Below are 16500 nucleotides of genomic sequence, written 5' to 3' on the forward strand. Positions count from 1 at the left end.
GCTTTGCTCCTAACTACCTTCTTTGTGTGGCAAGTATAAATATTTACATATGTTGTTAAGTATAGATATTTACATATGTTATAGGCTTAACAATACAAATGCATACACATCATATTATGCAATTCCATTTAAAACATGTTAAGAGAAAAAAGGAAAATATGCATTTATACTGTCTTTAAAAATTGCTTAATTACCTTTACTTGTGCTTCTCCTCCCTCACACCATGTGGAATAGAATTCCATTTGGGGGTCAGTTGGTTTTAGACTGAAGAAATTCTTTTAATAGTTATTGCAAGTGCCTTTACTAGCAACAAATTCTGTCAATTTTGTTCCTCTGAAAATGGCTCTTTTTTTCTTCATTTTTGAAAGATAGTTTTTCTGGGAATGAGAAATTTGTTAGTTTTATTCTTTCAGCACTTTGAATATGCATGTCATCTCACTATATTCTGGCCTCCACTGTTTCTGGTGAGATGTCAGTTGTTAATCTGCCTGGGATTCTTTTATGTATAATAAGTCATTTTTCCTTTGCTGTTTTCCTGATTTTCTCTTTGTATTTTACTTTCAACATTTTTACTATGATGTGTCTGGGTGTATATCTGTGTTTATCTTACTTGGAATTTTTTTGAGCTTCTTGGATGTGTCAATTCTTTCTGTGAAATTTGCAAAGTATTAACCATTATTTATTAAAAATATTTTTGTTCCTTTCTGTTTTTTCTCTTCTTCTGGCACCCCAATTTTGCATATATTGGTACAATTAATGGTGGTCTTCATATCTCTGAAACTTTTAAAATTTTTCTTCATTGCTTTTCTGTTGTTCAGATTGCATAATCTTTATTCGTCTGTCTCCAGGTTAGCTGATTCTTCTACCCACTCAAATCAGTTTTTGAGACCCTCTAGTACATTTTTCATTTCAGTTATATTAGTTTCCTACTGCAGAATTTCCATTAGATTCTTGTAAAAATAATTCTTATTTTTTATTTGATGAGATATTGCCCTCATATCTTCCTTAACCTCTCTAAGCATATTTTTCTTTAGTACTTTGAACATATTTATTGTAGTTGCTTTAGAGTCTTTGTCATGTTCATATCTAGTCCTTCTCATGGCACCTCTTGTTGTCTGCTTTTTATTTTTATTTTTCTGTGCATGAGTTATACTTTCCTGTTTATTTGCATGTTTCCCTTTTTTTTAGAACAGTAGGCATTTTAGATAATATAATGTAGCAGTGTCCCCTTCCCTAAAACTGCTTTTTCTTATCTTTTATTTGTTTGCATGCTTATTTGTTTAGTGACTTGGCTGAATAAATTTAGTGACACTGGCAGTGTAAAGCAGTGTAAAGCCTCTGATGTTGTTCCTCAGAGGATGCAGGCTTTGGCATGCTCACAGTCACTCTGGGAGACAGTAGTTTTCTCAGAACTATCCTTGACTCTTCCCTTCTTTGGTCTTGCTGGTAAACTGCCTGACTCTACTGGTAATACACTCAGGTATTAGTGTTTGCTAATTTTCAGTCAGTCACTTTATTGTTTTGGACAATGCTGTGGGAAATAAATTACCCTACAATCTGATCCAATTAATTTCAGACCTCTTTGCAGAAGTTTTTTGAGGCCAGGCTTTGAAGTATGTTCTAACCACAGGAGGTCTCTTTATTGCTGTCTCTTTCCCAGTTCACTCTGATAAACTAGCTGACTTGTGGTTTAGTTTATTGCTCTTATGGAGGTATCAGCCTTCTCTTAATTGCTTATTGTTGAAATCTTCCTGGTTTTTGAGAATGCCCTAAAGCTTGAACTTCCCCACTCTCTTTTCTAAATAAAATCAGTGATTTTGAGGAGCTCTTTGGCGCTCTTTCCCCTTGTGGCATGTTGAGGCTTCCTTCTAAGTTTGGTTCGTGTCAGTCTAATATAGACTTTACCCTAGGGCTCAGTTAGTTCTAGAACTATTTCTATAGATGGTCTTTCTGAGGTCTCTATTGAATTACTCAAGTATTCAACTGGACTCTCAGCTCTTACTGATCAGAACTTTAATGTCTCCCAGACTTATTAAGCTTCCATACGTTCTTGTCATAATGCCCCATTGGTTATTCTTTGACTGGCTTTTCTGTGTATTATTCTAAGGATGCACTGCTTTGCGTTCAAAGGTCCAAGGGGGCTCCTATGGAGATTTCCAAAGTGTTCTCTGTACAGTTTCCTCCTGTTAGGTACTCTGCCCCCTTAATTCCAGTCACCTTGGCTTCTTCAAACTCTAATCATTGTCTCCTGATTGCAGCAAGAGTACTGTGCCCTGTTTAGAGTTGCTTATCCTATGCCATTTTTCTAGAATATACCTGCAGACACAAAGTTGAGGCAATCTTGGGGATCCCTTTATTTGTATCCCTTCTATGTGTCATTATATCCTTTGCTACTCCTTGTTTGATGTCTGAAAACAGTTGTTTTATATATTTTATACAATTATGATTGCTTATGGTAGAAGGTATAGTCTCATACAAACTAAATCTTCATGGGAAGAAGTGGAAGTCCTGTCTTTGATTTTTGTGGCTTTGTGTTTTTCTTATTTGACCAAGCTCCTTAAAAATTCAAAATTTTGATTTTTGTCTGTTGTATTAGCTAACAATATTTTCCTTTGTGTCATTCACTTTTAAATTATTTTACAGTTTTATGATTTCCATATTTTAATTTTTATATAACTGAAATTATTTTTTTAATAATTTCTTCCAACTAGAGAACAAACATTTTCCTAGAATTTCTTTCATGGGTGTTTGAGGGGCTTCACTTTTTATAATTAATATTCAGTCTACTGAGATTATTTTTGGTATAAGTTATAAGATGGTTTTGTGTGTCTTTTATTCTAAATTTCTTTAAACAACTTGTAGAAAATGATGTGGTATAAATAAATCAATAAGTGCATATCACAGGAAAGTGGTTGAATGTCATTTTTCATTATTTTAGAATTCATGTATATCAATTTTGTTCCATGGACTTAAGGTCATTCTTGGGTGATATAAGATTAAGACAGATAATACTGTGTGCTTCCTTTTAAAAGGTAAAATTTGCTTAAAACCAATAAAAATGAAAATGAGGACATAAGGACTAGGATGTAAAGACTAAAGGGCAAAGCAGCATCCAAAGTGGGTGTTTCTCATTTAAGACAATGGATACCATGGCCAGACTTGCAGTCAGAAAGACCTAGTTTTGAATTCTATCATTTACTTCCTTTCTTTCTAGGTTACGGTTAAGGTGAAATCAGACAATGTAGGTAAACCATTCTTGCCATATCATCACTACGGCCACCATCATTGTTGTGATTATAGAAATAGAAATAGAAAGATTAAAAGATGAAGATGCAGTTTGAGTAGACAAGGATGAAGTCATATGATCTAGCCTTTGCTTTCTTTGTAATAAATTAAATAGCATAATGTGGATTATGTGCTTTCAAACTTTCTTCCATATGTATGTATACACATATGTGTGTATTTAGTTTCATCACATGGTTCCCATCGATACATCTCTTTCCATTTACTGTCACCATGGGTTGTCGTCTATATTCAGCTCCTGGACTTTGTAAAGAGATTCACTAAAGCATTGAAGCATTTGGCTGGGGAAAGTGATGAGGAGGAAAAGGAGACCTAGTAGTGATTGTGTCACTTTTCCTTGTCCAGTAAGTGACTGCTGTCCCTGGCTTATCTATTCTCCATGCACATATGTTTAAACCAGGTCACACAAAATTGGCTCTTTTCTTGTTTGCTCAAAGGAAGTCTGTGGTAGAATTTTACTGGAATTGGAGTTGGTATCACTGAATTGAAATTCCTTTTTCTCCACTGCTGAGTCGTGAGATTTGGGGCAGGTCCCTTCTTCTTTAATGTCCATTTTTGGGTTGGAACACACAATTACTTAAGGGCCATAGAAATTTCTGCATGTGCATTGGAGTTCATTCATTTATTAATTTTTAAATTAAATCATTGTTGAGTGATTTCTATGTCTTAAGCACTGTGTTTGGTACTGAGGACATTGATATGTAAAAACCATAGAACTTATTCCTACCTTCAAGGAACGTGTGTAGAAGAATAGACAAACATTAGAGCATAAAAAGAACATAGGTATAATGAATGCTACAAAGGAGAAGTGCAGATATTATGGGTGGTAAATATTGGAGGCCAGGAGTCTAAAACTATTTTGGTAAAGAGAAAGACAGTAATATTTTAGGCTTTTTGAGCCAATAGGCAAAATGGAACAATTCTTCTTACCAAAATGCCTTGTTGGTAAGTTTTAAAAATATTTTATATCTAAAAAAAATTAAGTCACAAAGCCCTTACGAAAACAGGCCACAGGCTACAGTTTGTCTGATTAGACAAACATTATATTCATAATAGAGTATGCTAAGATAATACCCCCACCTAAAGAATTTCTGTGGTCACTATTCTCCTAAAGGACTGTGTAAGAGACCTGTCTCTGTCTCTCTGTTTTCCCCTATTTCTAAGTCCCTCTCTCTTTCTTTCTATTTCTATTATATCTTTGTAGAATTCAAAAATATGTATGGAATACATACCCTCACGCCTACAATTTTCTGGTATCTTAATTTGGCTGCCTATTTGTGTCTTCTGAGAATTTTAACCATTTTATTAGTTTTCATACAATGTTCTGGCGACTGTGTCGTTGAGTAACTGCAATTGTGTAGATGCTTTACCAGGAGCTGGGTTAATCCATCAATATATTGTATGTCAATATGCTGTATCTGCTGAGGCAGCTGGAGAAGGAGATTGAGAGCAGGTACTGAGGGAGCAGAAAGAGGAAGAGAAAAAAACAGATAAAATGCCTAGCTGTCCCAGAGCAGGATTAGCAAACATGTTGTTTTGGTTATCCATTGTTTCACAGTTTAAAAAAAATCTCTTTGCGTCAACAGAATTAGAGGCATGGTGTCCTCTCTGAACACATTAAGCCATTTGAAGAGGCTCCAAAAGTGGAATCAAATTCAATTAAGGAAAAAAAGACCACTTATTACCCTTTAAAACTCATAATATGGAAGATATTTCAAAACATAAAAGTTGAAATGTTTTAAAATAGCATTTTAAATGCCTGAATCACTTAAAAGTGTTCTGAATTTTATTCATTCTATTTTAATTCTATCCTGAGATATTTCCTATAGATATTTCTAAATATTTTTTGCAGTTACATCAAGAGCTAGAAAAGGACAAATATCCTTATGCAATCAATTTGACTTTAACTATTTCCTCTCTCTCTCTCTATTTTTCTCACTTTCCTATTACTTGTGTCAGTACCTGAGTTTTTTCTTATCCTATTTTATTTAGAGTGGGAAAAAGCTATGACTGAGGAAAATGCCAAAGATCTAATCAAGGAATTGTCAATAATAATCGTGTGGCTCAAGCCATAAATCACTTTGGATTAAGCATCACCCTTCATCTGGGTGTGAAATTTCCAATGCCTTTTATTTGTTATCTGCCAATGGAAATTAAAACATTCCCTTCACAGGGGATCTTTCAGAAGCAGATGGATCCCCACTGTCAGGGCATCTGGGAAGTTGTCTACCTGAAGACAGTCAAATAAAGCTTATGACATTATTAGGTCCTTTCCCCACCCTCTAAAAACGCAAATCCATTTGTACACAACATTCAGTTAGCAAGTAAAATTTTGGTCAAGCCATTATGTTTTGTATATGATGCCAAGTACATCTTAATGGATGAGAGAGCCAATTGACTGATGGCCTTAACATGTTTTATAAATCATCTCTGTTTGCATGTTCAGCCCAGCCCAAAAGACAGAGGCAATAGACACCAAAGCCTGCCATTCTTAAGCAAAGTTTGCTTTAGTTCTGTATAAATATTAGGCCTTAACATAGTTTACTACAAATCTGTTTTAGTCTTAATTTCATGCGAAATCAACAATGGACATTTATATAGCATTAATTAAGGTACACTATTCAATACATATAAAATTTTTCAACATTATTTATATACAACCTTAGTTTATTATAAAAACTGTTATTGAGATGTCAAAGCCTCAGTGTTTTTTTCGTAAACTTTCTCAGGCTATGACATTAAACCTGCCCTTAGACATTAAACTAGAACCTTTTTATGTATATATGAGTAATAAGAACAACATCCTGCATCTATGTAGAACTTACAGAAACACAAATACTTAGTGTTTACTGTTAGCCAGGAACTGTGCTAAGCCTTTTTATATACAGTATCTTATTGAAGCTCACAACTCTCCATACGTTTGTACCCATTGTTAACAGTGAATCACTTGAGGTTTGTAGAAATTTGTGGCTTGCCCAAGACAAAGTCAACAAGTGGGCAAGTTAGGTTTTATACCCAGTACTGTTCTATTCAGAATCTAGGTTGTTTCCACTTTGCTTTCCAGTCTAACCTGGTTTTCTCAAAATTATCTGCCCCCACAAAAAAAAGAAGGACCAAACAGTGGATTTGCTCAAGATCATAAAGTTAATTGAACAGACAAAGGCTACACTAGAATTCAGGTCTTTTTCTTCTAACATGTTGCTCTTGGCATGACACTTACTGCTTCATATGTGTGTGTATATATATATATATATATATATACACACACACACACACATTAAACAGAAATCAGAATGAAATGCTTTGTATTTGAACTCTTCTTTTTTTAGTTTTACTGTCTGTTTTTCACTGCTGTACTCAGTTGGCCCTTTAAAAATTCTAATTACTGAAGTTATTATATTAAAGAAGTATTGGAAGAACAACTTAAATTCTAGAAATCACAGGAAATAAAAGTTATTCCCTTTGAGAATCTTATTGAGATGCTGAGAGAATAATGCTTAAATAAAGAGATACCTGGGTTGAATTTGAGACCAATTTTGCATGTGAAATCTCAGCAAATATTATGCTCAGTTAAACAATATGTGACCATTTGAACAGATGATGTTGTAAGAAAGAACTTTTCTGTAAATTGTTGAAATGGAAAGAATTCTTCATGCAAGTAGAAATAGGCAGCTAGTTAGGCTTTTCTTAATGAAATGACAGTTTTCAAGGTACTTAGCTTGAGAGTACAGAGTGCAGTATTTCCTGAAAATGGAACCAAAATGGAGGGGCCTGGGGTGTACTAGTCAGTCTATATAATTTACTATCATAATAAACTGGGTTCTTTTTGTTTTTTCTTCTATGATGAAAAATAATGTAGGAACAAAAGTCCACATAATTCCATCCATCACATTTGATATGTCCTTGTATTAATCAGGATAGAAAAACTATGTTGTTCTAATGGTAAATCACCCAATCTCAGTAGCTTATTCTATAAAAGTGTATTTCTTGCTCACATAAAATCTGATATGCTTTGGATCTTGCTCTTCCATTTTATAGCTATGCCAAATGGAAAATATGTCTTCCAAGATCACTGCAACAACAGAAAAGAAGGCTAGACAGCATACAGGAGCTCTTACATGGCCCCTGTCACTTCTGCTCATAGCCCATTGGCTAGAATTAGTCACATGGCCCAGGCCAGCTACAAGGGAAACTGAGAAATATGTAAAAGAACAAGTGATTATTTAGAGAATGATGTCTCTGACCCACGAATTATTTCTACCCTCCTTCCTGCTGGCACCCTGCTTTTCCCTTTCCCGCTTTTCATTCTTTTCTTTCTTTCCTTTCTTTCTTTCTTTCTTTCTTTCTTTCTTTCTTTCTTTCTTTCTTTCTTTCTTTCTTTCCTTCTTTCTTTCTTGCTTTCCTTCTTTCTTTCTTTCTTTCTTTTCTTTCTTTCTTTCTTTCTTTCTTTCTTTCTTTCTTTCTTTCTTTCAGTGCTGGTCTTTCTTCACCTTTTTGTATTTCTTTTGCATTTAGCCACTATTTAACAAATTATACATCTATCCTATAGAATACTTGCATGACCCTAAGGGTGAATGCATCCTAAACTGTGTGCCCTAGGTGCTTTTCTTGCCCTAGTCCTGCTATTCTGTGACAGGTTGTTTCTAAGTTGAGCAATATGTAAGAGTCAAACATGATTCCTAACTTCAAGTTGCTTTCCGTCCTGTGAGAGAGATGTGATGTACAGATATAATGACAATGCAATGTAAAAATAAAATGCCGGTGTCATGCAATTTCGACAGGTGTTGTGCTGTGGGAATTGATTGAATATTGTTCTACACTCAACAGTGCTTGCTAAATGCAAATCAGAGCACTGTGAGCACATGTTAAACAGGTAAAGAAAGTGTAATCCTTCTGCTTTAGAGAGGACAATCACAAATGGAGAACCTTGGAGAAAATACATATGGTTGCCCATCACACACACTTTAACTGGGTATGTGCATCGTGTCAGAGGTTCTCAGACTTTGCTGGATGGACATGGGATTCTCTGTATAGCCTAAAATGTGTGAGATTTTCTATTCTAGAGAAGGCCCAGATCTATAAATGTTCCTGAAAAGGTTATTGACCCCAGAGTTTCCAGGGTTTCCAGGGTGGGTACAGATGGCGACTACTCTTTTGTTTCATGAGGATTTACCCCAGACTTATAGGAACAGAGACACTCTGAATCCTCATAAAATAGCCAACATCATTCATCCCTTGAAACTACTGGCATGAATTGTCTTGCACGGAGGAAACAAACATTTCCTTTTTTTTTGTTCAATGTCTGAAGGGAGCTATCCCTGCAGCAGGACTTGGAAAGGCTCATAAAACTTGAGCAAAATGTTTATAAAGCATGGAAGTAAATGACAAGACTGTAACTTTGCAAAGTTTCAAGAGGAGCAGAGATTGGTCTCAGTGATCCAGGGATGGGCTTTAGGAAGCCTGTGAATCCCCAGAAACATTTGTGTGTATTTGGTTCTATGCATTTTTATGGAGAAGGGTCCACCTATAAACATTAAGAGCCACTAATCTCATTTTAAAAAGATGGAATCTCCAGTCTAAATAGATTTAAATACATACCTAAGATCAAATAATTAATCAGCGCTGAATCCAGTTCTGAAGCCCTATTCTAATCCCCACTGTTCTGGGCTAAATTGTGTCCCCTCAAAAATATTGTCAAAGTTCTAACATTTGGTACCTAAGAATGTGACTGTATGTGGAATAGGGATGTAACTGCAGATGTAATTAAGTTCATATAAAATCATGAAGATGTCCCTAATCCATTATAAGAAGAGGAATTCTCCCTGTGAAGGCAGGTACACATAGCAAGACAACCGTATAAAGGTAAAGGCAGAGATTGGAGTTACACAACTGAAAGCCAAAGGATACTGATGGCTTACCACCACTAGAAGCTAAGAAGAGTCAAGGAAAGTTTCTCCCTTAGAGCCTTCAAAGGGAACAGAGCACTGACAACAGCTTGATTTCAGACTTCAGCCTATAGAACTGTGAGACAATGAATTTCTGTTGTTTAAGACATTAAGTTTCTTATGGTAGCCCAAGGAAACAAATACACTCACTATAGCTAACTCTCCAAACTGGTACATTTCTTTTCATCGTGTCAGTGCCAATACTGATAATTATGTTTCCTGGTTTTTAAAATTCATGTTTACCAGACCTAGTTTAGGCACCTCTCCAGGCAATCAGGGTCCGCTGGTCCTTGGTGACTTGCTCTGTTTCCTGGCTGGAACTGCTGAACAATGGCTTCTGCCATTCCCACAATCAAAATTGTAGCTACCAATAAGAATGTACTAATTCTACCACCTTTCTGGGCTCAAGTGCCAGGCTTTAGGGCCACCTTCATCATGCTAGCTCTGGCAGAAGCTGCAGCAGTTTCCATGTCCAAGTCCAACCTGACTAGACCTATAGAGGCCCCAGCTTCCCCAAAAGCTCCACAGGGGCTGGCTAACATCAACTGGAGTTGCAGGGCAGTAAATGCTCCGTGAGGCAAACTTTAAGGGAATACAGGAGTCATAAGGAGACAGACCATGAATTGTTCTGTCTTCCTCCCATCTTAGAAACTGTTCAGAGATGCAGAGGCTCTACAGTGGCTTTCCTGAGTTATCCTATTTAACCAAGAAACCATTGCTACTTTCTTGGAAAGCTTTAGCCAGCTCATCATACACAAGGTTATTATTTTTGCTTTACCTACTTTTTGTTTTTGCTTTTGTTTTTGTTTTTGAGACGGAGTCTCACTCTGTCGCCCAGGCTGGAGTGCAATGGCGCGATCTTGGCTCACTGCAAGCTCTGCCCCCCAGGTTCATGCCATTCTCCCACCTCAGCCTCCCGAGTAGCTGGGACTACAGGCGCCCACCGCCATACCTGGCTAATTTTTTGTATTTTTAGTAGAGATGGTGTTTCACAGTGTTAGCCAAGATGGTCTCGATCTCCTGACCTTGTGATTCGCCTGCCTTGGCCTCCCAAAGTGCTGGGATTACAGGCGTGAGCCACCGCGCCCAGCCAGCTTTACCTACTTTTATGAGTTGAATTAAATTTATGTGTTGAACTCGTAACCCAATGTGTATCAGAATGGGACTTTACTTGGAAATAAGGTCATTGCAGATATAATTAGTTAAGATGAGGGCATAGTGGAGTAGGGTAGGGTGGGCACCTAACCCTTTATGACGGGTTACACACACACACACACACACACACACACACACACACACACAGAATGAGAGAGAATGAGAGAGAGAGAGAACACTCCATTTGAAGATGAAGGCAAATATTGGGGTGATATTTCTACAAGCTAAGGAATGCCAAAGATTGTGAAGATGGGAGAGATGCATGAAAATGGCCCTCCTTTGTAGCCTTCAGAAGGAACCAACCCTGTTGACACCTTGATCTTAGACTTCTAGCCTCTAGAACTGTGAGACAGTAAATTTATGCTGTTTAGCACCAAATTTGTGGTACTTTGTTATGGCAACACTAGTAAATCAACGTACCTATTTCTCTACCATACTTCTCACATTCTCTTATTCTTGCTGTCATTGGATTGTGACAACTCCATCTCTGCCCCCCTATAATGAGTAAGCATTCAAAATTGTCCTCAGCTCTGTTTCCCTGGAAATATAAGCTAATATAGCCTTTATTCCTATTTAAAAATAAGTGTGTAGTTAGACCTGGGTTGAGCACTGACTGATAAAAAGAAATATGATATGTCCTCTTCTTGAAAACGCCTACAGTGTTCAGCAAGACTAATCTAATTCGTAAGACCACTAGAAATCAGCAAAGGCAGAATGTTGCAGGTTTGACATCTACATTGTGATAGAGTTCAGGAAAGGGAGAGTTACACCATAAGCCTCCAGAACTACAAAACAAACTATTGACTATGAGAAATTCTATTCTATCTCTGTGTTTTCCTCATATCACCAAAAAGCAAGAGTTCATATTTGGCGTATTCTGTACATATTTTTTAATTCTTACACATGAGTGTGTGGCAGGCAAAGGGGAATCATTCCAAATAGGAAACTCAGGCATTTGTAAACAAAGCCTCATGTTGGTAATTCAAAGTAATTAGTGTTTATGACTGTAGGAGTCTGGAGTATATGTGATGAATTATATTAATCGGGAGTGAATTGATACTGGAGGGTAAAGAAGGATAATTTCTCCAGCTAAGAGCGCATGGCCAGTAGCTGAAACTGTTCCCCAGACCAAGCCATTACATCTATCAAAAGGCGTTTATTAACTGCTTATTCACACATCACACTATGCTAAATGAGGAACCAAGTCTTAAAACTCACTTTCTTAACTTGTGTATAATCTATACTGGTTTCAAAGAAAGAGCAAGAAAACTTCACTTGAAATTTAGAGCCTTAGAGCTTTTAGAGTTCCTTTAAAGAAATCTTTATATGTAATAATACATTTTTTTTGGAGAAGAAATCAATTGAGATCTCATTTTTCTTGTTCACGTTTTCTAAACATTTCCACTGTTAGTGGTTCACATAAACTTGTTTATGTGTATGAGTTATTAATATATGGATTGACTCAAACTCTCTAAATGATTTTTGCTTCCATAATATAGCTTCACTAACCTAAATGAGTTGTCGATAGCAATACCATGGACTGTAACTTCTGTAATACCATTGTCTTCACTGTATGTGGAGTGCCTACAGAAAGCCTGGGTGAGAGAAGGTATATAAAAAACATCTGTTGAATGATAAAACCCTCATTCCTGGTTGGATCCAGGAAGGATAATTTTTTCAAACATTCCTGTAAGGAAAGATGCCAAAACTTTTTGAGCACCTGTCATGTCCCAGGCTCCCTACTAAGCACTTTACATAATCTCAAGGGATATCCCTTCTTTCACTTTAACATGGGTGCAATAGCATTTACTTATCTGTTTATAGCAATAGAAAGACTTAAATACTGCTGGGCATGGTGGCTTGTGCCTGTAATCCCAGTGCTTTGAGAGGCTTAAGTGGGGGGGGGGGTCACTTGAGGCCAGGAGTTCGAGACCAGCCTGGGCAACATAGCAAGACCACATTTCTACACATTATAAACAAATTAGCAGGCATGGTGGCATGTGCCTGTAGTTACAGCTACCTGGGAGACTAAGGAGGGAGAATCACTTGAGCCCAGGTAGTCGAGGCTGGAGTGAGCCATGATCATGCCACTGCACTCCAGCCTGGATGACAGAGAGAGACTGTCTTTAAAAAAAAAAAAAAAAGAAAAAGAAAAAGAAAAGAAAGAGATAGGAAAGGAAGGAAGAGGGAGAGAGAGAGAGAGAGAGAGAGAAAGAGAAAGAAAGAGAATAGTATGCATGTGAGGAACTTAGCATTGTGTCTGGTGCCAAACAAATGCTGAGCTACTGGTTACCTTTCTCTTCTTTTTCTTATTACATTCAGTATCCACTGAACATTCCTTACAGTGATTTTCCATTACTCTTTATATCAGATGCAGAAATGTTGACTGTGTTTTTGGTTAGCATCATTTATAAGGAAATTCCTCCAGGAAGCACATCTTCCTCTTTGTTGTTCTTCTTTTAATACTGTTGAATGGAAAGCTCACCACAACCACAGCCTAGGCCCCAGAGACCTGTCGCTTGGACTATTCAACTGCCTCCTAAGTCTAACAGCTTTTGGTTTTGTCTCTTGCAATAGATACTGCTCTTTGCACCAAGAAAGCTCTATTCAAAATATAAATTTGACTATATTATTCCTTTGTTTACTCTAATTGCCATTCCATACAAATAAAGTCCAGACTCCCCAGCATGGCATACAAGATTCTTCATGTCCAAAGCCCTGTCTTCCTCTTAAGACTTATATAATTCAGCTGCTTCTATGCAGGATGCATTTTCACAAATGTATATGATTCATGATCTCGTTGCTCAACGAGTCTGCACTTTGGCTTGTGCAGGATCATCTGCTTTGCAGCCTCCCTCTCTTTCCTTATCTTTCTTCACCTAGCCTACTCTGCTCAATCTCTTAGACACAGCTCATGCATCACTTCCTCTTGGCAGCCTTTGGAAAGCTTAGGTACCCTTCCTTAATGTTTTTTTAATTACTCTGTGATCTGATTATCAGGAATTTAGGACATTGCCTTCAAATCATCCATTAGTGTCTGTTGCTGCCACAACAGTCTAGGCCATGGGTGGGCAAACTTCTTCTGTAAAGAACCAGGTATTAGATATTTTAGCTTTGTGTAGCATATGGTCTTCATCAAAATTACCCAGTTTTGCCTTTGTAACACAAAAACAGCCAAAGACAATATGTAAATTAATGAGCTTCACTGTGGTTCCAATAGTTTACTTACAAAAAAATAGATGGCAGGGTGGATTTCTCCAGTGGGTTGTAGGTTGCCAACCCCTAATCTAAGCCTCTTGAGGATGGGGATCCTCTTATCTTTCTTAGATTCTGTAGCACCTAGCTCAGTGTCTGTGTTAAAGGAGGGGCTCAATCAATGTTAATTGAACTGGGAGTGTACTATGCCCTCCAAATCATCATGTGCCAGGTGCTGATTCTTGTTTTTATTCTTGCTTTTATTTGAAGTATAATCAGGTTGCTGTTGAACATTTTTAATTTTGTACCAAGCAGATGTGCCCCATTTGAAGAACAGAAGCAAATCAGTACATACTAAATTACCAGGTCACATTCTAACACAGAGATCTGCGCATTCTGTCTGAGCATCTAAGGCTTCTAATTTTCTCGGGTATCCTATTGCCCTCAAATGTTGTGGCTTTCCTTGAAACCAGCCAGTGTTGTCTGTGAACTGTTTATTGAAAGCTGTGTAACTAAGTACAGTAATAGAATTTTTCAATCAATACTCAATTGCAGCAGGAGCTGGTAGAGAGATTTCAGCAGCCATAACATGCTGAGATAACTTGGTGTCACTAAGAAATCAGGCAGCAGAGAGCAGTACTAATTGAGTTCTGTCAGTCATACATGTGGGCACTGGGCTTGAAATCTGGTGTAGAAGCTATAGTATTATTTAATGTGTATTTGGTTGTGTAAACCCAGACAGCAAACTCATGTGAACTCAGCTGAATAACATTCAGCTGTTCTAGGCCTCTCATAACAATTTTCTTTTTTTTTTCTCTGTTTAAAAACTCAGCAGTATCCTGTATGTGCATAACATAAAAGGAATAGCAGTGGTATTTAATTGTAAGTCTGGGATAGATGGTATAAAGAGGAAATATAACCTAATAGAAAGAGAATTGGAAGTCAAAAGACTCAACCTTCAAATTCCAGCTGTTCTACCTGTTAACTCTGTGTTTTGGCTGTGAATCAAGTGATAGCCAACGCATCGGTTTTTCTATCTTTACAATGGGGATTATACCTGCCTGCCTTATTAGTGTTTCAGTGAACTTCAAAGCAATTTTTGGCTGTGAAAATGCTCTGCAATGATAGTTGTTGTTTTATGAGCACCTTAATTATTCTGCTTCTCCAGGAAAAAAAAAAATGTGTCAACACTAAGTGAATTTTCCTTGTAATTTAATCCTTTAATTTTAATAATTTTTATTGAAGTCTTTCCCAAAGAATGCACAATAAACTAACTGCTTTATTAAACTGAATAGTTTATGCAAATTGAACCCATTTATGGCTCAGAGTTAACACTGGGATTTCTGCTTCTGTGATTCATGTTGTAGCTGTAGGTGCTGCTGACTGTGGGATTTACCTGTGATTGAGCCCAGAAGTAGCTTGGTTTAGCCTTCTGGAAAAATTCCAATTAGTCACTTTGTTAATTTGGGCTATTTGCCTCTTCTGCAAAGGAAGATTTAGGGAATGACTGAAATAATGTTATAGTTTGAAGGAACACTGAACACCATTAAGTCCAATCCCTTCTTAGAAGGAAATAAACTGAAATCCCAAGGGTTTAATGAGTTGCTCAATGTCACACACAAAATGAGTGTTTAAGTGTACCCTATCCCCACCTTCTGACAACATTAACATTAATGAACATTTTCTCAAAGCTTTACTATTTTCAAAGCATTTGCATATCCATATCTTATTTAGACATCTCCAAAGCTGTGAAGTTGACAGAGCAGGGGCCATTCTCTCCATTTCATGAGTGTCAAGTGACTTTTCCTCAGTCACTTAGTGGGTGTATGCTCAGGGAAAGATGCTGGGACATGAAAACAGATCTTCTGACCACAGGTCCTAGTATCATCCCAAGACATTATGTTTCATGCTATTGGACTATGCCTTGTCTACTATAACATGCAATATTAATGCTGCATAACCTCTGCAGTAGCACGACTTCGCTGACTGCTGTAAAATAAATCATCTTCCTAAAGATAGAAGATGTCTTTTCCCAAATGAGTTTTTCATGTTCCAGAGCAGTTTCTTCAATATCACTGTTTGTGTGCTTTGAATTTTTCACAGAACTTACAGCCTTATGTATGAGATCTGCACGACCAGCAATAGGAATAACTGGCACCTTCATATCAGCTTTTACCTACTTGCAATCACAGTGTGCTTCTGCCTCAAACCTCATGTCCTATAACTTTTTCTTAGCACTTTAGATTCCACCAATACTATTAGTTGAAGTTCCCAAATACATGATAGCCTGCTTTTGTGCCATATTAGTAAAATGTGTTTCTCTGAGAACTGTTGCAAACCTAAGTCAAACTGGCTTAAGATCACCTTGGATTTTTTGGTTCCTGAAACTAAAAATCCAGGGATAGAGCAAGCATGGCTGGACTCAAGACTTCCAAATTAGTGTGAGGAAACATCTCTCTCTTCCTCTGTCTCTCTCCTCTTTCCTTCTATCTGAATTTTTCTGCATTAGACTTTGTTCTCAGGCAGGTTCTAACAAGAAGAAGAAAAGATGGCCACTGCTGGGTCCAGAATTATATTAGCTAGTGAATTCCATTGAATCAAGAGTACTTCCCACCAGCCCCAACCCCACAATAGCATCAAGAAAAAATTCTCTTTGAATTGATTGAGTTATATACTTCCATTCTTGGAACTGGGACATGCAGCCAACTGTACCCAAGCCATATAAATGGAGAGAAAGGGTAAGAGGGATTCCTGAAATAAATTATATCAATATAATTCAATTATTAAATTTAAAATATTAAATAAATTATATATAATTTATTATATATGATATATAATAATATGTGGTATTTGATATAATAATATATATGATAAATATAATATATAATGTATGATATTTGAT

At 36.9% G+C, this 16500-nt stretch overlaps 1 protein-coding gene across 4 annotated transcripts in view, besides 1 other annotated feature; it reads left to right on the forward strand.

The window, feature by feature from the left end:
- NELL1 (neural EGFL like 1) overlaps positions 1 to 16500 on the forward strand; it is a 906136-nt gene that overhangs the window by 660561 nt on the left and 229075 nt on the right. The window lies entirely within an intron of this gene.
- Positions 2704 to 2873: an enhancer, noted in NCBI's record as "experimental_20242 CRE fragment used in MPRA reporter constructs". NCBI's record gives its function as "activates a minimal promoter by MPRAs in K562 erythroleukemia cells, with activity observed for both the introgressed and non-introgressed 11:21354446 variant alleles {active_cell/tissue: K562}" and the evidence as "EXISTENCE:reporter gene assay evidence [ECO:0000049][PMID:34662402]".

This window comes from Homo sapiens, chromosome 11 (genome assembly GCF_000001405.40).
Source record: "Homo sapiens chromosome 11, GRCh38.p14 Primary Assembly".
NCBI lineage: Eukaryota > Metazoa > Chordata > Mammalia > Primates > Hominidae > Homo > Homo sapiens.